The 24,205-nt window shown below is 42.8% G+C and overlaps 1 annotated feature.

The window, feature by feature from the left end:
- Window positions 7,312-8,199: an enhancer, noted in NCBI's record as "OCT4-NANOG hESC enhancer chr1:233606496-233607383 (GRCh37/hg19 assembly coordinates)". NCBI's record gives its function as "activates a minimal SCP1, AML or CMV promoter by ChIP-STARR-seq in naive H9 embryonic stem cells {active_cell/tissue: H9 hESC(naive)}" and the evidence as "EXISTENCE:reporter gene assay evidence [ECO:0000049][PMID:30033119]".

Raw genomic sequence — 24,205 nt, 5'->3', positions numbered from 1 at the left:
TCCACCCAGAACATTCTATGGCTCCCATCGGCTCCCTGCTGGTGAGCTCTTGGGCAAATGAGAGTCTCTGAAGCTTAAGGTTTGCTAGCTTCACAGTAAACCTGCTTTTAGTCTGAGCAAACACATCATCAAGACAGGCCTGGCCAGCATCCATGCCTTAACATCAGGGCTGGCTTCATCAGCATGTGGCCTGTACAGTTGTCCAGTGCTTATGTTCAGAGGAGCCCCTGATATGGTTTGGCTCTGTCCCCACACAAATATCATCTTTAATTGTAATTCCCATAATCCCCATGTGTCATGGGAGGGACCAGGTGGAGATAATTGTATCGTGGGGGTAGTTTCCTCCAACCGTTGTCATGATAGTAAGTTATCACAAGAACTGATGGTTTTCTAAGAGGCTTCCCCCTTCACTCGGCTCTCATTCCTCTCTTTCCTGCCATCTTGAAGAAAGACATGATTGCTTCCCCTTCTGCCATGATTGTAAATTTCCTGAGGTCTCCCCAGCCATGCTGAACTGTGAGCCAATTAAACCTCTATCCTTTATAAATTACCTAGTCTTGGGTGTGTCTTTATTAGCAGCATAAGGATGGACTAATACAAGCCTGCGTCTTGGCTTACTGCTCTACTGTTAGCCATCATCTAGAAACTCCTAATAATTTTGTCTTTCAGCTGGTGTCTGGAAGTAAAGTGGATGGGTTAATGGAGCATGCATATGGGCAGGAGATATTCATGTCCACCCCTATTCCTTGCCACCCCATTCACATATAGCATTCCCAAGGTTCCATGAGTACAGAATGCTAGTGGACCCAGAATTCGTGGGAATCAGGGAGACTCAAAGAAGTGCATATGTTATGTCTATGCCTGAGTAAGTAAAGACTATGACAGCCATGAGAAGCTATGCTTTCTGTTCAAATCAGAGCTTGCTTTGAACATAGAAAGAAGACAATGGAGTTCTAAGAAACCCAAATGACCAAGAAATCCTCTTATAATCTTTCTTACTTGCATAATAACTTCCCTATATTAGCCAACCACTTATGCTGAAAATGACGTAGAAGGAAAAAGAAAGATAGGGCAACTACAGTCTTTTTTTCTTTCTGTCCTTCCTTGCTCATCAGTAAGCCAAAAGTGAAGAGTGCTGATGGCAATTGTACTTATTCAGAAGTGACATAGAAACAGTTGAGTAAGTTTTGTGCAGTTTTCACTGTTCTGCTAAGAACAAAATACTATTTGTGAAGGGCAAACACCCTCTGAAGATTGGCTGAAAATTGAACAGAAAAAAAAAACAGATTAATAGGAGGAAAGGTAATTAACATGCAGAAGAGTCCTACAAAATGAAAGAACTCAAGGAAATGGGCAGATAGCTGATGCTTTTATGCCATCTTGAGGTTACAGGAAAAAATAGGGGGTTGGAGCTTAGTAAATCAGGTTATGGTGGTGAAACAGGTTATGAGAGGGAGAGAGGATGAGATGTGGCTGGCAAAGGTGCTCTTGTTATGTGGATAACAGGTAGATCTCACAGGTAGCAGCTCTCAGAGAGAAGAGATGCTAAATGTTTCTTTCAGACCTTTTAAAGTGTCAGACTCTCAGATAATCTTTCCTAGCCTGGTGCCATCAATGCAGATTCTCTAAAGAGGCTAATATCCCCCACAGAAAACAGCTTTTCAAGGCTACTTCTGTAACCACCTGAAGGGTTCATTTTGCCCACTGCCCAGATAGAACTGATTTATCAAGACAGAGGAATTGCTATACAGAAAGAGTTTAGTTCATGCAGAGCTGGCTGAATTGGGAGACTGGAGTTTTATTACTTGAATCAGTCTCTGAAAATTTGAAGGCTAGAGTTTTTCAAGCATAGTTTGGGGGGAGGTGGTGCCTGGGGAATGGGTGCTGCTGATTGGATGGGGCGTAATCACAGGGGTGTGGAAAATGGTCCTTGTGTGCACCGAGTCCACTTCTGGGTGGGGCCACAGGACAGGTTAATGGGTCTGGGTGGACCCATCAGTAGTCAGAAATGCTAAAACCTGAAAAGACATCTCAAAAGGCCAATCTTAGATTCTACACTAGTGACTTATCTGCAGAAGTAATTGGGGAAGTTGCAAATCTTGTGGCTAATTTGTTAGTCCTACAAAGGCAGTCTAGTCCCCAGGAAAGAAGGAGATTTGTTTCAGGCAATGGCTGTCCTCTTTGTTTCAAAGTTAAACTATAAACTAAGTTCCTCCCAAAGGTAGTTCTGCCTATGCCTGGGATTGAACAAGGGCAACTTGGAGGTTGGAACAAGATGGAGTTGGTTAGGTCAGATCTCTTTCACTGTCCTAATTTTTTCACTATCACAATTTTTGCAAGGGTGATTTTATTTCTTTTTGCAGTCTCTCTGAATAGTCATCTCAAAATGTGTCAAAAAAGTATTTTTGCGGATGTAGTATTTTTATTTCCCTCAATACATATGCATATATGAGCTAAGAAATACGAATCATGTAATCTTGGTGATTTTGCATATCCGTTAAATGCTGTTACGTTTGCATTTAAAACTAGCATTCAACAACATAAATATGAATGGTAAAATTAACGCTAATAACATAATTTTTATTACTTAGAACATCATTAAATGACAAATTTTAAAATACCAGAACAACTCGAGAGACAGCAACCGTGGAAGAAAGAAAAGAAATGTGTATTTTAGTACCTTTACTTGTACGTTCTTTCTTTTGTTTTTTTCCTTTGCCCTGGACCCTACAAATTCCATACCCAGCCCTGCTTAATATGGATGGGTACTGTGCAGACAAGTACTTGTTGAGGTATACACTTTGCATTTTTACTTCTCTAATTCTTTGTCTACATCAGTCAATAGGAAAACAGAAAGATTATGACCAGACCAATAGATTTAAAGAATTTATCTTTTACTTTAGAGAAAAGATATGTAAACCAAAAATAAAATTCTAAGCCCTCCAACCAAATGCATGGATCCCCTCTTGGCTAAAGGGATCCCAGAGAAAGGTGGAAAGCTGAATTTCTGGTCATGATGGGAAGGGGAGGTTAGACATGCCTTGTTATATTCTCTCATTCTTGGAGTTTAGGCACATCTGACCAGCATTAACATTAAAATTGAGATCATACAACTGGCAAAACAGACTCTTTGTGGCAATAAGATATAGCATATCCAACCTGACTCTGCTATAGCATCACATGACAGACAGCAGACCCTGAAAAAAAATCAAAGTAGTTTATCCCAACAGATATTTCTTTGACATATTTTTAAATGGCCCTGCAAAGTTGTCTTCTGTGGGGAACATTTTGCATCTGTAGGGAATCTCCATTAATGCAGTCAGGCCTTTCCCTGATCTAGGAGAGATTAACTGAAAGTCTGATAACTTCAGAGAATAGTTACCATCTATTCTCTCTGAAGCCTTCTACCTATGAGCCCTCCTCTGCATAACAAGAACCTTGGCCTCCACAGCCTCCCTTATCTTAATTCAAGCATTTCTTTTCACTGACTTCAGGTCTTTAGATGAAGCCTAACTCTTTCAATGAATTGCTAATCAGAACATCTTTGAATTCACCTATGACCTGGAAGTATCCCTCCACTTCAAGATGTCCTTCCTTTTCAGGCCAAACCAATGTATACCTTCCATGTGTTGATTTATTATTTTTGCCTACAATTCCTGTCTCCCTAAAATGTACAAAACCAAACAGTAATCCAGCTGCCTTGGGCACACTTTCTCAAGACCTCTTGGGGCTGTTCCCCAGACCATGGTCATTCATATTGGCTCAGAATAAACCCCCTTTAAATATTTTACAGAATTTGGGTATTGTTTTGGTCAAAAAATAATAGGAAAAATGTGAAGAAATATTAGCATAAAGTATAGGGCCAATATTTACTGGCTGACCAGCTGATTCTCTACTTCCATTTTCTAATTCTTACTTTCTATGGAGTATTACAGCATAAGATCCTCACGTTGAATTTAAGTAGATATTGTGTATTTCCTTAAGATCATGCTTACTCAATAAATTATGATGCATCTGTGTGATGCATAATTATCCAGAAATTAAAATGGCATTTCCAAAAATAGTTAATAACATGGAGGGGAAAATAGGATGGAAATCTCTAAGTATAATGTCATCTTATCTTATTAGAAAAAATGTATGTGCATAAAAAACACAGAAAGAAAAATATCAAGTTTTCTTTTTTGAGAATTGAGATTTTGGATGATTTCTGTTTTTTACATTGTAACTTTCCATATTTTAAATGCTCTTCAATGATTGTGAATTGCTTTTGTAACAAGAAAACATTTCAGCAACATCTTATGCATCTTCCCCTTTTTAGTGTTTAGCATTCTGCTTAAAAGATAGAGGGGAGTCAGTCATTACTTCATGAATTTGAATCATCTCTAATTTGCAAGTGAAGCAGTTGAAGCTCCTCACATGTATGTGTAATCCTAAGTAGGGGAAAAGAGTTGTCTGGTATGACTAAGGGAAAGCAGAAAGAAAAGGCAGATAAGCTGCAAGCCTCTTTTCTTCATGGTTCAGGACACATAGCCCACCTGCACAAATAACTCACAATCTTCCTGCACCCAGATATCACCATTGCAAGTTAGCTCACTGCAACCTTGGTGTTTGTTGGGGTTCAATCAGGCTGGTGGGAAAAATATTAGAGATAGCTATAGAAATAGACACAAAACTCTCTTTGAAGGCCTGAGTTTGTGTAGCTTCAGATTGCTTGGCCGAAGGCAGCCAGGGTCTCTTTATAGGAGCCAGAAAGATTAGGGTGCAAGTACAAAGGCATGTGGGAAGTTTATCTTACTAACCTGTTTACGTATATGGGCTTAAGACCGACCTCTGTCCTACTGCGGGTACTTTCCTGCCTCCTACTCAGGGGTGGGCAGAAGTTTATTTATTATGGTGTTTGCTTTAGGCCCGGGAACCTGGCCTTTAATCTTTACCCTCTACTGGTGTTTACTCACAACTTTGGTTAATTAGTCTTAGTGAATAAATGGGAGCCTCACTATCTGATGGGGCAAGTTGCAACTGTTTACAGAACTCAGCTTGGAGCTTGTAAGTGGCTGGCACCCTCAGCTGGACTGGCAAAGCAGAATACCTGTGTGTCAGTGTACTTTATTCATCCGTCGCCAACAGGGGTCTGCAGGAACAGACACCCAGCAGCTAGTGCCCCCGCAAAAGGAGCACTGCCTCAGATGTTACCAGTGCTGCACGTAGCACTCTGCACCCTAAGAGCCACCCTATAACATTCCCTGCAAGTCTTTGTTTCCTTGCAGTCAGCTCCTCTTCTGCTGGTCTGCCCGTTGCCTCCTCGCAATATGTTTTCATTCTTTCTCCAATAAATCTGCCTTTCTTTACTTACAACCGTCTTGGTAAATTCTTTTACCCCTACACCAGCAGCCCAATAGTCATCACTCACTCATGATAATATACTTTTATATACCTGTAAAGTAATGTCTTAATAGTGAATCTTCATGTAAATATTGAAATTCTATCTCCTCCATTGTACAGTTTTTTTGGTGGAAAATCTTGCCTGGATTTACTTCACAAACTTTCAACTCCATACCCTTACAAACCTAATGTCACTGACCCTGTCCTTCCTTTCTTTGCTGTCTTGTCAGAGAAGGCTGCCTCTTCTTGTCAATCTCCCCAGGCCCACAGGGTTCACGCATGACCCTATTTTGCCAGTTAACCCCCTCTTTCCCATGCCCACTTTGTCAGGCCTCTGAGCCCAGGCTAAGCCATCATATCGCCTGTGACCTGCACGTATACATCCAGACAGCCTGAAGCAAGTGAAGAATCACAAAAGAAGTGAAAATGGCCGGTTCCTGGCTTAACTGATGACATTCCACCACTGTGATTTGTTCCTGCCCCACCTTAACTGAGCAATTAACCTTGTGAAATTCCTTCTCCTGGCTCAGAACCTCCCCCACTGAGCACCTTGTGACCGCTGTCCCTGCCTGTAAGAGAAAAACCCCCTTTGACTGTGATTTTCCACTACCTACACAAATCCTATAAAACGTCCCCACCCCTGTCTCCCTTCACTGACTCTCTTTTTGGACTCAGCCCGCCTGCACCCAGTTGACTAAAAAGCCTTATTGCTCACACAAAGCCTGTTTGGTGGTCTCTTCACACAGACGCACGTGACACACTTTTCCACTGGCTCCTTCTCCTCAGGGCATTCAACTTTCAGCATCTTTGCAAAACAGAGACTCTTCTCCAACCTCTACCTCCTTCCCTGCACAGTGAAAGTTTGAGAAATGTAGTCTATATTTGCTATCTCTACTTCCTTACTTCAATTTTCTCTCTTCAACTTCCTCCAATGTGACTTATGTTATATTAACAGGAAAACCAAACTCTGTAAAATATTTTAAAGAGATTTATTCTGAGCAATATGACAGACCATGGCCCAGAGAACAATCTCAACAGGTTCTGAGGAAGTGTGTTTGAGGTGGTGAGTTTACAGGAAAGCAATCTGGATCCAGACCCCAAGAGAGGGTTCTTGGATCTCATGCAAGAAGGAATTCAGGGCGAGTCTCATAAACAGAAAGCAAGTTTATTAGAAAAGTAAAGGAATAAAAGAATGGCTACTGTCACACACGTCCATGTGAAGAGACCACCAAACAGGCTTTGTGTGAGCAATAAAGCTTTTTAATCACCTGGGTGCAGGCGGGCTGAGTCCAAAAAGGGAGTCAGCAAAGGGATATGGGGTGGGGCAGTTTTATAGAATTTGGGTAGGTAGTGGAAAATTACAGTCAAAGGGGATTGTTCTCTGGCGTGCAGGGGCAGGGGTCACAAGGTGCTCGGTGGGGGGAGCTTCTGAGACTCATTGTCCAGGAAAAGGAATTTCACAAGGTAATGTCATCCGTTAAGGCAAGAACTGGCCATTTTCACTTCTTTTGTGGTTCTTCAGTTGCCTCAGGCTATCTGGATTTATAAGTGCAGGCTTGGGCTCAGAGCCCTGACAGCTCCTCCATAGACAGAGCAGCCCCAAGGGCTGCTGATTGCCCATTTTGATGGTTATTTCTTGATTATATACTAAACAAGGGGTGGATTATTCATGCCTCCCCTTTTCAGACCATATAGGGTAACTTCCTGACATTGTCATGGCATTTGTAAACTGTCGTGGTGCTGGTGGGAGTGTAGCAGTGAGGATAACCAGAGGTCACACTCTTCACTATCTTGGTTTTGGTGGGTTTTAGCCACTTACTTACTGCAACCTGTTTTATCAGCAAGGTCTTTATGACCTGTATCTTATGCCGACCTCCTATCTCATCCTGTGACTTAGAATGCCTTAACCGACTGGGAATGCAGCCCAGTAGGTCTCAGCCTCATTTTACCCAACTCCTATTCAAGATAGAGTTGCTCTGGTTCAAACGCCTCTCAAAGTCAGGATACAGTTTGGTTTTACACATTTTAGGGAGACACAAATTGCGGGTAAAACCACAAATCAATACATGGAAGGTGTACATTGGTTTAGCCTAAAGAGGTGGAATATCTTGAAGTGGGGGCTTATAGGTCACAGGTGGATTCAGAGATTTTTCTGATTGGCAATTGGTTGAGAGAGGCTTCATCTAAAGACTCGAAGTCAGTAGAAAGAAACGCTTGAATTAAGGGGGATTGTAGAGGCCAAGGTTTTTGTTATGTAGATGAAGCCTCATAGGTGGCAAGCTTCAGAGAGAATAGATGGTAACTGTCTCTTTTCAGACCCTGAAGGTATCAGACTTTCAGTTAATCTCTCCTAGATCAGGGGAAGGCCTGGCTGCATTAATGGAGATTCCCTACAGATGCAAAATGTTCCCCACAAAAGACGACTTTGCAAGGCCATTTAAAAATATGTCAGAGAAATATCTGTTAGGGTAAACTACTTTGATTTTTTTTCAGGGTCTGCTGTCTGTCATGTGATGCTATAGCAGAGTCGGGTTGGATATGCTATATCTTATTGCCACAAAGAGTCTGTTTTGCCTGTCCTATGATCGCTGTTTTAATGTTAATGCTGGTCCATTGTGCCTAAACTCCAAAAAGGAGGGGTATAACGAGGCATGTCTAACCTCACTTCCTGTCATGACCCATGGGAATTCAGTTTTTCTGAATTTTCCCAGGTTTCTCTGGGATACCCTTGGCCCAGAGGGAGTGTGTTTATTTGATTGGAGGGACTTAGGACTTTATTTATGGTTTACATTCTTTATATTCCATGGAAAGAATTCCTGCTAAAGTCTTCAGTGAGCACACAGCTGCCAGAACTGAGGATCACTTTGAGTCCCCTCACCTGGCCCTCCCTGCCAGCAGCACTTGCTGGTTCCCTTCTCTTTCTTGAAGCTCTACCTCAGCACTCGTCCTCCCACTTGCCCCCATCTGCTTCTGCTCTGTCTCCTTCACATGCTGACTTTTCTCTACCCACATGTTAAGTGATGAATTTTAAATTATATAATTAATACATTTCTATAGGTGTACAAGTTAAACATTGCAGATAAGGGTAAAGTTCTCCTTAAGAAGCCATTTCAATTGCCCAGGTCCATCCCCAGAGACAACCACTGGTATCGGCTGAAAAAATAATTTTCGTTTGAGGAATGTGAGTCCTTTTAAAAGACTCAGCAATGATACAGAATCAAACTGTGTCCTCGACAAATGGCTGGATAAAGAAAATGTGGTATATATACACAATGGAATACTATTCAGCAATAAAGTCATGTGACTTTTGGTTTTTTTTTGCAACAACATGGATGGAACTGGAGGCCATTTATTTATTTACTTATTATTTCATTTATTTATTTTTTTGAGACGGACTCTCGCTCTGTTGCCCAGGTTAGAGTGCAGTGGCACAATCTCTGCTCACTGCAACCTCCACCTCCCAGGTTCAAGTGATTCTCCACCTCAACCTCCCCAGTAGCTGAGATTACAGGCACCTGCCATCATGCCCGGCTAATTTTGTATTTTTGTAGAGATGGGGTTTCACCATGTTGGCCAGGCTGTTCTCAAACTCCTGACCTCAGGTGATCTGCCCACCTCGGCCTCCCAAAGTGCTGAGATTACAGGCGTGAGCCACTGGGCCCGGCCGAGGCCATTTATTTTTAAGTGAAACAACTTACAAACAGAAAGCCAAACAACACATGTTCTCACTTATAAAGGTGGGAGCTATTAATAAATAATGTGCACACATGGATGTAGAGTGTGGACTAATAGGCCCTGGTGTCTCAGAAGAGTGTGAGAGTGGGTGAGGGGTGAGAAATTACTCAGTTAGTATCATGGACATGATTCAGGTGATGGCTACACTAAAAGTCCAGACTTTACCTCTATACAATATATTCATGTAACAAAACTGCACTTGTACTCCTTAAATTTATGCAATTAAAACAAAATATCAGGCCCAGAGAGACATTAAAATGAGACAGCAACTGTGTCCTACTGTGCCCTTGGAGCTATGTATTCTTCTGTTGAAACTGCTTGCTGTTGCCACAGATTACTATAAATTAACCTAATAATGCTGCACTGGACACTATAACCCACACCGTAACTTAGCAGTGTATCACTAATCAATGTTATTTCTAGAAACCAATGAAAATTCCTAACAAACAACTTTGTATTAGCCCACTCCATGTCTCTCTTTTTTGCCTTTAAAAACCCGCTTGTAACAAAGGCAGAAGGGAGCTCATATCCAGGGTTAATTGGGCCTATGTCTTCCAGGCAGTTGTCCTCTCTTAGGCTCAAGTAAACTCTCTAAATAACATTACATGCCTCAGCCTCTTCCTTTTTAGTCAATAATGCTTTCTTTGTTTCCTTCCAGACATTTCTTCTGCCTTCACGTACATAGATGAAATGCATATTTCTATAGGAATATATAGTGCTTTGGGTCCTGTTTTTTCTAAGTGGAATTATACTGTACATTTTTTTCTAGGTAATAATTTTTTCCTTAAAGATTGTTTAATGCCAGTTAATATAAACCAAGCTCTTTTCTTTCCTGTTCTTACCTGCTACATGACATCTATGTTCCACTGTCAGTTTAAAATTTCTCATATGATGTCCATGTAAGATATTTCTAATATTTCATGATCGTAAATAAAGCTGCATTGAGCTCTCTGTGTGTGTATAGTTTTTGTGCACATTTGTGTTTCTCTAGGGTGGGTACTTACATTTTAATAGATATTCCAAAATGGTTTTCAGATAGACATACAAATTTACACTACAATTTGTGAGTATGCTCATTTATAACACCTACTTGCCAATGTGAAATAGCATAAAATTTGTTAATATTTGCCATTCTGATGGCTGTAAAATAGCATCCTTTGTTTTCATTTGCATTTCTCTGTGTGCCAATTATTAAGTTCATTTTCATTTGCTTTTAAGCCACTTGTAATCTCGCTTCTGTGAATTATCTGTTCTGTCCTTTGCTTATTTATCTTTTTTTGCTATTTGCATTTCCCTTGTTATTTTTAGGCATTTTTAAGACAGCCTTCATCTAGGCATGTGTTCTTTATTATGGATATTACAAATGTTTCTCCCTGTCCATGTGTTTTAACTATTATATATTTTGCCATTAAGATTTTTTTATTGTACTCCAAATAACATGTCTTTCCTTTCTGACTTTGCATTTGTGCCTTGTCTAATAAAGAAATAAAGGTTATCAGTATATATCTTCTGATTTTTTTCCTACAATGCTTTCATAGCCCTTATTGATTTATTTATTTATTTATTTTATGTATTGGTCTTTATACCATCTGCAATTTGGTTTTGTGTGAATGGTTCAAAGCAGTGATTGCATGTAAATTGTTTACACAAATAAAACATTTTCCCAATGCTAAATTCCCTTAGATGTATTCATGTATGTCTGGGCCCTATGTCCATTTGTCTAATCCCCCACTATGCCACCGTCCTAGTCATTCTGGCTTTGTAACACATTCACACCTAGTGGGCTATGGTCCCCCCATCCCTTCCCCACACACAATTCTCACACATACACACTCTGGATTTTTTTTGTTTTGAAAATTGTCTTGGCCTCTCTTACATACTTACTGTCTTACATGGATTTTAGAATGGCTTCGCCAAATTCCTCGAAAAAGTCATGTTATAATTTGTATTATGCTTGCATTGATTTTATACATCACTTTAGGAGAATCGATCTCTTTGCAATCTTGATATCCCAATTTACAAACATGATAAATGTCTCCATTTATTTAAGACTTGTATGTCTCAACTTTATGTGAATTTTTCTGGTCTTTTGTCACATGGGCCTTTTCAGGCTTATGTCTAGGTATTTTAAGGCTCTCCCCTCTTAGAATGTTGATTTTCCTTCATAGTCAGCCGTTGGTCTGCTTCTGGCCCACTAAGTCTCCTTGGATGCTCCAACTGTTACCATTATCATCTATATGTCGTTACCTCATCAACACCTGGGTTTCAGCTTAGACCCCATTGGCCTGACCTCCACATATAAACGTTCACCTGCAAACCAGAGTTTTCCATATAGATTTTCTACTGACACCTCAACCTCAACCACATCATGACTGCCCTTTTCCCACTCCCTGACACCTTCTGTTCCCTGTCTCCCACCCTCCTTGATGGAATCCCTTCCTTAGTGAATGATATCACCAATCACCCATGCAAAACCTTAGAGTCCTCATCACCTTTTCCTTCTCCTTCACCCTCTGCATGAAGTCACTTAAATCAGTCTTGTGGATTCAGCCATCTCAAACTATTGCCATATCCTCTATCAGTCTCACCCCTGCCAACCAATTCTTACTACCATTTTATCATCAACAACAACTTTAAATAGCTTTCTACATTATCTAGAGTAGATCAAGATGCTATAACTAATAGGCTACATAATGTACCATGTTGCTAATACAACAGATGTTTGTTTCTTGCTCCCACAACAGTTCAAGATATGTGTTCTGGATGGCAGATAGCTCCTACAATCTTGTCATTCCACCATCCCCTAGGGTCTTGGCATTTTCTGCACTTAGCTGGGAAAAAAAGGAAGAGTAATTAAGGGTGTATCATACCCACTGTTTAAAATCCTTGGTGCAGAAATGTATCTTCTGTGCACAACCTATTGAAAACCAGTCACATGACACACCTAATTGCAAAGGACACTGGGAAAGGGAATTTAGCCATACACTGGGCTACAATGTAAATATTTCTGTTGAAGGAGATAATGAATTTTCGGTGACAAAATATGGTTCCTTGACCTTGACATTGTCTTGCATAACCTCCATGACATTTTTTTTTTAAGAGATGGAATCTGACGCAATCACCCTGGCTGGAGTGCAGTGGCATAATCATAGCTCCATGCAACCCAGAGCTTCTGGGCTCAAGATGTTTCCGGAATTGGTAGGTTCTTGGTCTCGCTGACTTCAAGAATGAAGCCGCGGACCCTCGCAGTGAGTGTTACAGTTCTTAAAGATGCTGTGTCCAGAGTTTGTTCCTTCAGATGTTCAGACGTGTCTGGAGTTTCTTCTTTCTGGTGGGTTCGTGGTCTCACTGGCTTCAGGAGTGAAGCTGCAGACCTTCGCAGTGAGTGTTACAGCTCATAAACGCAGTGCGGACCCAAAGAGTGAGCAGAAGCAAGATTTATTGCAAAGAGGGAAAGAACAAAGCTTCCACAGCATGCAAGAAGATGGTGGGCGGGGGGCCAAGGCCAGGGCAGGGGCAGCGGCAGGCTCAGGCATGGAGGGCTGCAGGTCCCGAGCCCTGTCCCGCAAGGAAGAGGCTGAGGCCCGGCAAGAATTCGAGCATGGCGCAGGCGGGCTGACAGTGCTGGGGGAACTGGCGCACCCTCCGAAGCTGCTTGCCTGGGTGCTAAGCCCCTCACTGCCCTGGGCCAGCGGCGCCGACCGGCCGCTCCGACTGCGGGCCACTGAGCCTGCACCCAGCCGGAACCCGGGCTCGCCACAAGCTTCACGTACAGCCCTGGTTCCCGCCCGGGCCTCTCCCTCCATACCTCCGGGCAAGCAGAGGGAGCCAAATTCGGCCTCGGCCAGCCCAGAGAGGGGCTCCCACAGTGCAGCGGCGGGCTGAAGTGCTCTTCAAGCGCAGCCAGAGTGGACACCGAGGCCGAGGAGGCGCTGAGAGTGAGCGAGGGCTGCTAGCATGTTGTCACCTCTCAAAGAGATCTTCCTGCCTCAGCCTCTTGAGTAGCTAAGACTACAGGCATGTGCCACCATGCCCAGCTAACTGTTTTAATTTTATTTTTAGAGACGGGACTTTGCTTATGTTGCCCAGGCTGGTCCTGAATTCCTGGGCTCAAGTGATCTTCCCACCTCAGTCTCCCATTCATGAGGGATTCATTCCCCGCCCTCCATGACCTAAACACCACCCACTAGGCTCCACTTCCCAAGGTCACCATATTGGAGATCAAATGTCAGCATGAGGTTTGATGGGGATAAACAAATCTCATCCAAACAGCAAAGAAGGAATGAGGCACAGAAGCCCTGAGAGAATAAAGAGGTTCCCAGCAGAGAAAACATGGAGCAAGACCAAAGTGTGGCACTTTTGAAAATGATTTGTCTAATTGGAGTAAGAGATACAGTTGGCAGAGTAGCGAGGAAGGCAGAGGCCAGACCAAGTACAATGTCATGTGCTAGTCTCAAGAATTTTGCTTTAATCCTGAAGGAAGCTTTGAAGTGTATTTAGCAGAGACGTGATGGAATCCAGAAGTTTAGAGGGAAACACTAGAATGCAGTACGGGAGGAGCATCTCCCAACCCTGGAAGACTGGAGTCCAACCAGCATGTGCCAGGTTGTCTCTTCTCTCTGCTACAGTTCTTTATTCATTGCTACAGTTCCTTATTCACATGTAACTGTAGGCTCCCTTCATCAGTTTAGGAAAACAAATGAGGTCACATATCTTTCTAACTAGCTTCTTGAGCCACCACACAGTCAAATTAACTGGAACCCCAGGGTCTCCTTCTTAGGACCTTTTTCCAATTGTAAAAGAATCTTGGTGTTTGCTCTGCTTAATGGGGCGAATCCAAACAGTGTTCAGGAAAAAAAATATATAAAGAATGTCCCGAGCCTATGATAAGACCTTGGCTTTTATGTGCCATTTCTCCTATAGCTATTGGTCTGATCCATGCCTTCTCCAATATCATTCCAGGACCCCAAGGAAAACAGAGCTACATAGGAAGGAACTCCAATAAAGTGGCAACAGTGATCAGATTTGGGATTTCAAAAGGTTGCTCTGATGTCAGAGTACACAGGGTTGGACCAAAAGGGAACACAGCTAGAGGCAAGGAGATCAATGAAGTTGCCCATGCAGTGTTTTAGATGGAAAGTAATAGAAGCCTGAAGAAGGGAAGTGGGGATGGAGAAGAGGGCAGAAGCATGATATAGGTCAAAAGCATAAAATTGACAGCATCTATTGACTGTTTGGATGTAAGGAGTAAAAGGAAAATAAAGTTGATAGTTTATATAGACCTTCCTTGGGAACGGGGTAGATGCCAGTGAGATTCCACAAGATTAGGGATGCAAGAGTCAAGATAGGCTTGGGAAATGGTGAAGGCAGTTGATGATCTCAGGTTTAAGCGTGTGAAGTGGGGTGCATGGGGAAAAACTATAGGAATGTGTCTCAAGGTAGTCAGGTATATAAGCATGGAACTCATGAGAAACGTCTGGAGATAGGGATTTCAACTCACTGGTTTGTAGGTAATAGTTGAATTGGTGTGGACAAGAGCTGCAGGAAGAATTGTTGAATGGGATGAGGGCAGAACACTGGGGAACCCAAACTCTAAGGATTGAGCAAAGATGTCTGAGAAGGAGCACTACAGAGGTTGGAAAAGGAAGACTTCAAAAAGACAGCAATCAGCATCCTGCACTGCAAGAAGGCAGGTCAACTAACAAGGACCTGAAGTGCTTCATTAATGATCTTGGTGAGAGTGAGGAGTGGGCACAGAAGCTTGACCAAAGTAAAAGAGGAGAAACAATAAGGCCAGGGTTATTTTTCAGAAAACCAGGTGATGAGGGACAGCATGGAATAAAATGACAACTGGAGAGGGAGGTAGGGTCAAGAAATGGTGTGTGGTGTGGTGTGTGTGTGTGTGTGTGTATGTGTGTGTGTGTGTGTGTGTGTATGTGTGTGTGTGAATTTCTCTGCCACTTTTTTAATCCCACAGAGAGTGGCGTTCGTTTGATGTCTACAAGTCTTAGAAGGGCCACTGACTCCCCAGATGCCCCTCCTTCTCCCTTTACCTTAGGGTTATAACTGGGCATTCACTCGTCTTAGAATCCCCCTCTTTTTTCATAGGGTTTTGGGGACATCACATAGGATTCTAGGCCTTGGTGGGTTTGACACATCATAGCAGTCAGCTTATTCAGTCTCTTTTTCTTATTTAACTAAAGCTCTGCCCATGTCTTCTATAGTTATGGGAAACTACTCTCATCAGCCAGCCGTGGCGTAGCACCACACCCAGGGCTGTCCATGCTTGTGTGGTCCATATAAATAATCATTTCAACTGGGAAATTTTGAGAATAAAAGGAGTGTTGTTAGCAATGACTGACAGACAACAGGTGCAAATGGAAATTGTCCCCGTCAAATGGAGACATAGTCATAGACAGTCAGATGATCCCTACTCATTCTTCATATTTGCATTGTCACAGCTCAAAACACATGAAGGGATTTTATATACATTGTATTATTTGAGGCTTTTTAAGTAGCACACATTATTTTATTTTATTATGAGATGGAATCTCCCTCTGTTACCCAAGCTGGAGTGCAATGGCACGATCTCAGCTCACTGCAACCTCTGCCTCCTTGGTTCAAGCAATTCTCCTGCTTCAGCCTCCTGAGTAGCTGGGACTGCAGGTGCATGCCACCACACCCAATTAGCTTTGTATTTTTAGTAGAGACAGGGTTTCACCATGTTTGCCAGCCTGGTCTTGAACTCCTGACTTCAAGTGATCCTCCTACTTGGTCTCCCAAAGTGCTGGGATTACAGACGTGAGCCATCGTGCAGGCCCACGCATTACTTTAGAAATAAATAGGTAAAGGAAATCATGTTTGCAGAATCTGAGCTGGCACGGACTGCCTGGTGCAAACCCCTCATTTTATAAATGAAGATCCCAAGGCCCAGCTCTCTGGAAGCTCCAGTAAGACCTGAATAACTATCAGATTTGAGGTCCCTCCTACTTTAGATCCATTCCCCCAGCCTCCACCAATTGGGAGGGGAGCCAGAGGGGAGGGTGTCCATGGATTTGCCTTGGGAGGAAGAGCTATGAGGAAGTCTTCATGAATTTGTCCCTGAATGGCAGCCAAAGCAGGAAGCCTCCTAAGTTTGGAATGGGGGTCAGTGGAGCTCAGGATCTATATCCCGCAGAGCATATGGAGGCCCAAATCACTGTCTCCTCCTCTGGCTCAGAGTTTCCCTATTTCAGTCTGCACCTGCATCTTACATCCCACAACGAAGTGGAGCCTCTGTAGCAGTGGCAGACTACAGGTCTGTATTTACATGGGTCCGTATTTCATCTGCATCGTGACACCAGCCTCCACCACTTTCTGTGCCACCCAGTTCTGGGAGGGAAGAGATTTCATGGTTTTGATGGACTCTCTTAGAGCTATTTACATGCATGAAACAATTAGGAAAACAAAAATAAGGGAGCGTGATGATTAAGTTTTGATGTTAATTTGACTGGAATAAGGAATACCTAGAAATCTGGTAAAGCGTTTTTTTTCTGAGTGTGTCTGTGAAGGTGTTTCCAAAGGAGATCGGCATGTGAGTCTGAGAGGACTAAGTGGGGAAGATCCACCCTCAATGTGGGCAGGCACCATCTAGTCTACTGGGGACCTGCAGAAAACAAAAACAGAAAGGGCAAATAGGTTAATCTCTCTACTAGAGTTGGGATATATTGTCCCTCTCCTGTCCTTGGACAACTTCAGGCTCTCTGATCTTTGGACTCCACGAGTTACACCAATGACCCCTGGGTTCTCAGGCCTTTGGCCTTGGAATGAGAGTTACACCATCATCCTCTGGCTCTGATGGCATCACTCCTGGCTCTGATGCCTTTGGACTTGTACTGAGCTGTACTACCAGAATTCCCAGGTCTCCAGCTTGCAGACAACCTGTCCTGGGACTTCTCAGCCTCAATAATCATTTGAGCCAATTCCCCTAATAAATCCTCTCCCATCTACCTATCTATATCTACATCCATATCTAATCTATGTCTATATCCATCTCCTATTTGTTCTGTCTCTCTAGAGAATCCTGACTAATACAGAGAGTAACAAAGCATTTTTCTCATGTTTTATCTTTCATCTCAGAATCTAATTAATCACTTCCTTAATTACTTGAATGAGCCACTGGAGGTTTGGGGTCATGATTCCTGCTCTATTTATATCACCTTGTTTTTGATGAGATGACCCTACCTCTGAATACTGAGTCTAAACATACCAATAAAAAGATGAGAGACGGCCGGGCACGGTGGCTCACACCTGTAATCCCAACACTTTGGGAGGCCAGGGCGGGTGGATCACTTGAGGTCAGGAGTTCAAAATTGGCTTGGCCAACATCTAATTTAATAGAGATGACATCTAATTTAGTAGAGACGAGTGAAACCTCGTCTCTACTAAAAATACAAAAATTAGCCAGGCATGGTGGCAGGCGCCTATAATCCCAGCTACTTGGGAGGCTAAGGCAGGAGAACCACTTGAACCCAGGATGCAGAGGTTGCAGTGAGCCGAGATTTTTGCACCACTGCACTCGAGCCTGGGTGACAGAGCTTCATCTCAAAAAAAAAAAAAAAAAAAAAAAAAAAAAAAGATGAGAGACCTGTTCCAGGCCCTGTAGTTTTCACATTCTCTCTGAATTCATTATTCTTAAAACACTGTCTATTATCCACCCCTAGTCAATCAAAAATAAATAAAAATCAAAAAGAAAACAAGGAACAGGCTTCTCTTGTAATTGGAAGAGAGCTGTGAGCAAGACGAATGATCTGTGGGGACCTCCACTACGAATTACAGCAGAAGGCTTGCAATTACTTAGAGAAAGAAACTGCATGTTTATAATGTTTGAGTAGAAAGAAGCATCTCAGTACTCTTCACACTTAGTATTCAGCACAGTGATATTGCAGTGCTGGGCCAGTGGGGCAAAGGCCAGCCTTTCTGGAATTGTAACACTCTAAAGTGTCTCTGTACACTGTGAGACACGACCAGGTTCATCAGTCTGGGATCCCCAGGACCTCCAAGCATAACAAACGTGGCAGCAAGTCTCAGGGGCAGAGCCCCAGGCTGCACTTGCCAAGAAGCAGCTTCTGGGCTGCAAAGTCTGTGATCTGAGCAGAGAGAAGGTACAGAAGGAGAAGCTCTGGGTAGAGAGGTGTGATGCTGAACAAGGCCCCCTGCCTGCCCCATCTTTTAGCCTTCCATGCCCCTCTCCACTTCTCAGGTTTCCCTGAGGCTTCTCCCTCCTACTAATCTCCACAACAAAAACCATATTCCAACTCTAGCGACTGAGTAACAATAATGAGATCTATATTATTATGATCATGACTCTTCTTCTTGCTTGTTAACTGCTTAAGCAAACATGCTTTACTAGAAGGAAATCTAACACTCTTCTCTTGAGTCTTTCTCCCCTCTTCCCTCAAATTGCCCAAGCACCCTGGAGGTTTGGTCCAAGCAAAGTTGACCAAAGTGGGAGGAGAAGTGGTGTCTTTGGGGCCATTTGTGGCCTCTCATCAGCACCACATAATGTTGCTGACGAATACTGGCCCCTAGCCACAAGACCCACACTTGTCTGCTCTGAGCACAGCCTTGCTGCTCCACATTCCTGACATTCCTGCAGGGGGCTATGAAATAGCATAACAGGGCACCAAGTGATGCTCTCTTAGTTCACGTGTCTACGTGTAGTCACAGAAACATAACACTGAGCCCAGGGGCAGGTTCCAAAAGATCATTAACGCCTCCCAAGTGCTATTCTGTACACAAGCCAACCCTTTCCATGACCGCTGAAGCCCTTGTCTTCAGCCTGGGCCATCAGTATGTGTTTTAACATATAGTGTATTAGTTAAAAATTCAAAGTAGAGTAAGGCCAACAGATCACAAGATGACTATTGTTGAAAAGAGAAGTTGTTACTCAAGGTTCCCAGGAGGAGAGGCCACCTGGGGAAGTACCAGGGCTGGTCAGAGGCAGAGGGGGCAGGGGACTGTGGGTAAAAGACTTTACTGTGGTTTCTGCAGGAAGGAACAGGTAAGGCAGGGCACATGGGCTTATGATTGGCTGGTTTGAATAATTTCAGAGGGCTATGGGCTGTAGCAGCTGACCCTAGTTGTCTGGGGTGACTAGGGTAGGTGGAGAGTGTCCCAGAGTATGAGAACCCATGAGAAAAAAATATGGCTAGGGGTATGAGCTCTGGTTTGGTTGATTTGCATTTGAAAAGCATGCTCATGGGAAAATGACTGATGCTCTCTAGAGATCAGCAAACCCTGGGACGGCAGTCTCCCCAAGGTCAGCAAGGCCCCAGATGTCAAAGCACCAGCACACAGACCATAAAATGCATGGTTACCATACCATGTTGATGTTTTCTTTACTTAAGATTGTTTTATACCTGGGGCCTTATTTTCTCTTCCTGTCACTGGACACAGTTCAGGCCTTCCCTGTCCACTATCTCCCTGACATTGAGACTCAAAACTCCGGGCTTGGCCAGGCTCAGTGGCTCACACCTGTAATCCCAGCACTTTGGGAGGCCAAGGCTGGTGGATCACAAGGTCAAGAGATCAAGACCATCCTGGCCAACATGGTGAAACCCCGTCTCTACTAAAAATACAAAAATTAGCTGGGTGTGGTGGCGCACGCCTGTAGTCCTAGCTACTCGGAGGGCTGAGACAGGAGAATCACTTGAACTTGGGAGGTGGAGGTTGCGGTGAGCCGAGATTGTGCCACTGCACTCCAGCCTGGTGACAGAGCAAGACTCTGTCTCAAAAAAATAAGTAAATAAACAGGGCTTGAGTCTATTCCATTTTACAAAGGTCTTGGATTCCTTGATCTCTTAAAGAATCATCTCTCATACTAAAAGGTAAACTAGATTTTGCTAATGTACTTGAGAAATTAAAGCTCCTATATATACCTTTACTGCAGTCCAAATAAAAAAATATATAATTTTTTATTTTTTGAGCAACTATCAAGCACTGCCCCAGCACATTCATTTCTCTTTATAGTATTGGGCCAGACACAGATCTAAACCATTCCTTTCACACAGCTATGCCAGACCAGCATTTAAAAAATAAACGCTGCTACATACCAAGGGAAAATATTTCGTTAATTTTACTTCTACTTTAAAAAGCATCATTTTGTGGTACATTGTCTAATGTTATCTATCTTTACAAAAACCATGAGATACGTAATATCATTATCCAAACTTTACAGAAAACAAAACAAAACAAAACTGAGCTTAGAGAGGTAAAGTTACTGACAAAAGGCCGCCTAGCAGTTGGTTAGTATAACAATCAGTGCAAAGACCCAAGTTTTTATCCAACCCAGTCTTCTTTTCACTAATCCACTGCTCAGAAAACACAAATAGGGCAAAAACAGTTGTTTGCAGGGAACATATTTCTGATCCACTCTCTTTTACCTCAATGGATTAAAAAGGCATAATAATTAGAACAACTCATTGAAGCATTGTCCACAATGGAGAAGATTTGGAATCAATCTAAGTGTCCATCAATGGATAAAATGTATAAAGAAAATATGGTATATACATACAGTGTAATATTATTCAGCCCTTTAGAAGAAGAAATCCTGTCATTTATGACAACATGGATGAACTTGAAGGACAGAATGTTAAGTGAAATAAGCCAGGCACAGAAAGACAGATACTGCATAATCTCACTTATATAGAGAATCTAAAAAAGTAGAACTCATAGAAGCAGAGAAGAGAATGGTGATTGCCAGGGGCTAGCATGGGGTGCAGGGGAGAGGTGTGATTAGAGAGATATTGGTCAAAGGGTTCAGAGTTTTAGTTATGCAGGTTAAATACATTTTGGACATCTAATGTACAGCATGGTGACTGTAGTTAGTTAACAATACTGTATTGTATACTCAAAATTTGCTAAAAGAGTAGATCTTAAGTGTCCTCACCCCTACACACACACATAAAAAAATAGCAACTATGTGAGGGTGAATATGTTAATTAGCTTGCTTGTGGTGATCATTTCACAATGTATGCATGTATCCAAACCTCATGTTGTACACCATAGATATAAGCAATTTTATTTATCTATTATGCCTCAATAAATCTGGAAACTTAATTAATTAGCTAATTAATTGATTTTAAAATTAGTTGGAAGAATTTTGAAGCCAGAGAGATCTGGGTTCTGATCCCAGCTCTGCCACTTGCTCATTACATGACTTTGAGTTGCTTTCTCTGAGCCTCATTTTCCTTATCTATAAAACGAAGATGATAATAATAATGTCGTCCTATTAGCACTGCTGGGAAGATACATCTCAAAAGGCTCTGGCACAAAGTGGACATGCCACAATAATGCAATATTATTATTATATACAGAGGGTGGATATAACTTCACAGAAGTTCATTTCATTCATTCAACAAAAGTTTATTGAACATCAACTATGTGTGAGGAACAAGGAAAGAATTTCTAAATTAAAGATAGACAGTTAGGAAGGTGGAGACTGACAAACAAATAAATGCAATAAAGTGTCCTCAGTTGCAGGCCAGAGTGGTGGCTACACGAGAGAGCCCATTTGTCCCTGAGAGTGTCAGGAAACGTTCCACAGAAGAGGTATGTGGCTTCCAACAGGAGGGCAGGAGGGCAGGAATTAGCTTATAAAATGCCTCCCTTAATTTGATATCTCATTGTTTAAAAGATCAAGTTGAGAGCTAAAGTGAATTTTCAAATGGCAAAACTAGATTGAAAGCAGGCAAATTCACTGGGTTGTCCCAAAACCACCTAAGGGCCACATGAATTATCACTGCTTCAACTCGTTGTAGGAAACATGCATTTTCAACCAATTTATTTTTTTATCTTGCTCCAAAGACAACATTAAAACTCATAAAAACTAATAAGACAGGCCAAACACGGTGGCTCATGCCTGTAATCCCAGCACTTTGGGAGGCCGAGGCGGGCGGATCACGAGGTCAGGAGATCGAGACCATCCTGGCTAACAGGGTGAAACCCTGTCTCTGCTAAAAATACAAAAAATTAGCCGGGCATGGTGGCGGGCGCCAGTAGTCCCAGCTACTCGGGAGGCTGAGGCAGGAGAATGGCGTGAACCTGGAAGGCAGAGCTTGCAGTGAGCCAAGATTGCGCCACTGCACTCCAGTCTGGGCAACAGAGCGAGACTCCGTCTCAAAAAAAAAAAAAAAAAACTAATAAGACTGGAGATGGCCAAAAAAAAAAAAAAAACATGAAAACATTGCCAAAGGCACATCAAGAAATATCTGCAAACAGGACAATGCCAAAAGGAAGAAAACTACTCTGTGAGAATCTCACCAAAGTTAGCAACAAGCTCCTGGAAAATTCCAAAATGTAGACAAAAGTTATTACAAGCATAAATTATTTGACAAAAACAGCCTCCACAATCCATAAGAGTTATCAAAGAATGAAAAAATGACTGAAAATATTTATTTTTACCAATTAATTATTTTGGCCTGTTTTTTGTTTGTTTTTACTAAATTATTCTTTCTGTCCATTGCGTGCTGAGGGGAATCAGAAGAAATAGAATTTGGGCAGAGATACAAAGAGTCAGCGGGGAAGGAGGATGATGAGAGGAGGAGAAGCAGAGGAAAAGAAAAAAGAAGTAGACAGGTGTTTACAATGTTAAAAGTGAAGCAAAACTTAGAAGACATTCCATACAAACCCACATACGTACGTAGACTAACTTATTTTGTGATAGAAGCCAAGTCTCTCATTCTGTACTTTCCTCTCGGAGTGGTGTGTGATCTGCAGATACACTTTTCTCTCCATTTTCACCCGACATTTAAGTGGAGACAACTCTCCCATCTCTGCTGTTAGAGACAGTGAGGTTGTCTAGGCACACACTGTTCTAACACAACTGAGGGTTCGAGGCAGTCAGGGCACTGCATGCAAAGTCACCAGCATGTCAGCCCACAAAATTGAACACCCAGAGAAGCTCAGGGCTGACCCCAAAAGAGCCAAAAAGACTTCCTCCCCAAAATGCCTTCTTGCCTCACCCCCCCACCTGCTTTTTTTTTTTTTTAGACAGATTCTCACTCTGTTGCCCAGGCTGGGATGCAGTAGAGTGATTATAGCTCACTGCAGCCTTGAACTGCAGAGCTCAAGGGATCCTCCTGACTCAGCCTTTCACATACCTGGGAGTACAGGTGAACCCTACCACACACAGCAAATTTTTAAAATTTTTTGTAGAGATGGTGTCTCACTATGTTGCTCAGGCTGGTCTCAAACTCCTGGCCTCCAGCAATCTTCCCATCTTCCAAGTGCTGGAATTACAGGCTTGGGCCGCTGCACCCTGCCCTGCTCCATTTATACATGGCAACTCCCACTGTTAAAAATACGCTAACAAAGAACAAGCAAAATGTGACAAGATCATATTTTCACTTCCTTGCATTTCACAAATCGACTACAACCAGCTAAGTGGGACCTCAGAAAAAAATGTGGGCATCACTGTCTGTCCCGCAGCAAGGGCCAACCTTAGCCCATTCATTTGTCCAATAAGTGTGTGTTGAGCACCTACTACCTGCCAAGCCCTGGGGCGAGAGCAATACAGACTATGACCTTTCGAACAAAAGAGACTGGGTCCATGGGGAACGCTGGTGACAGCTGACCTTATGGGAAGGTGCTGCTGAGAACCAGCCCAGGGGAGATTCCAGCGCACAGACGGGCTGTGCCCCACATGTGGGTAAGGGGAGTCTTCTCAAAGAGGGGTGTCAGGAAGCAGGGGCAAACTGCAGTTTGTTCCCCAAGACTAGAGCCAAAAGCCTGTTGTGAGGCCGTTGCAGTGACGCAGCTGGGAGACAGACCATCAGAGCCCCAGCTGCAGCAATGGGTCTGGGAAGAGATTTAAAACACATTATGGGTGGGGAGAAGTAGCAGAGCTTGTGGCAGCCCCCAGGCCAGAAACGGAAAAGACAATTCCAAATATTTAGGGTATCAAAGATTTAACCAACTCAGAATTTAGTGACAATTACTGATTTGCTGCTTGATTTGAGCCAGGCTCATCTGCACGTTTGGGGCCTCTGCTGAGACAGGCTTCTGTCTGCACATGGTTTCTCTTCCTCAAGGAGACCAGCCTGGAGAT

This window comes from Homo sapiens, chromosome 1 (genome assembly GCF_000001405.40).
Source record: "Homo sapiens chromosome 1, GRCh38.p14 Primary Assembly".
Taxonomy (NCBI): domain Eukaryota; kingdom Metazoa; phylum Chordata; class Mammalia; order Primates; family Hominidae; genus Homo; species Homo sapiens.
Note: the sequence above shows the minus strand (reverse complement) of the source record. Positions and strands in the feature narration are given on the sequence as shown.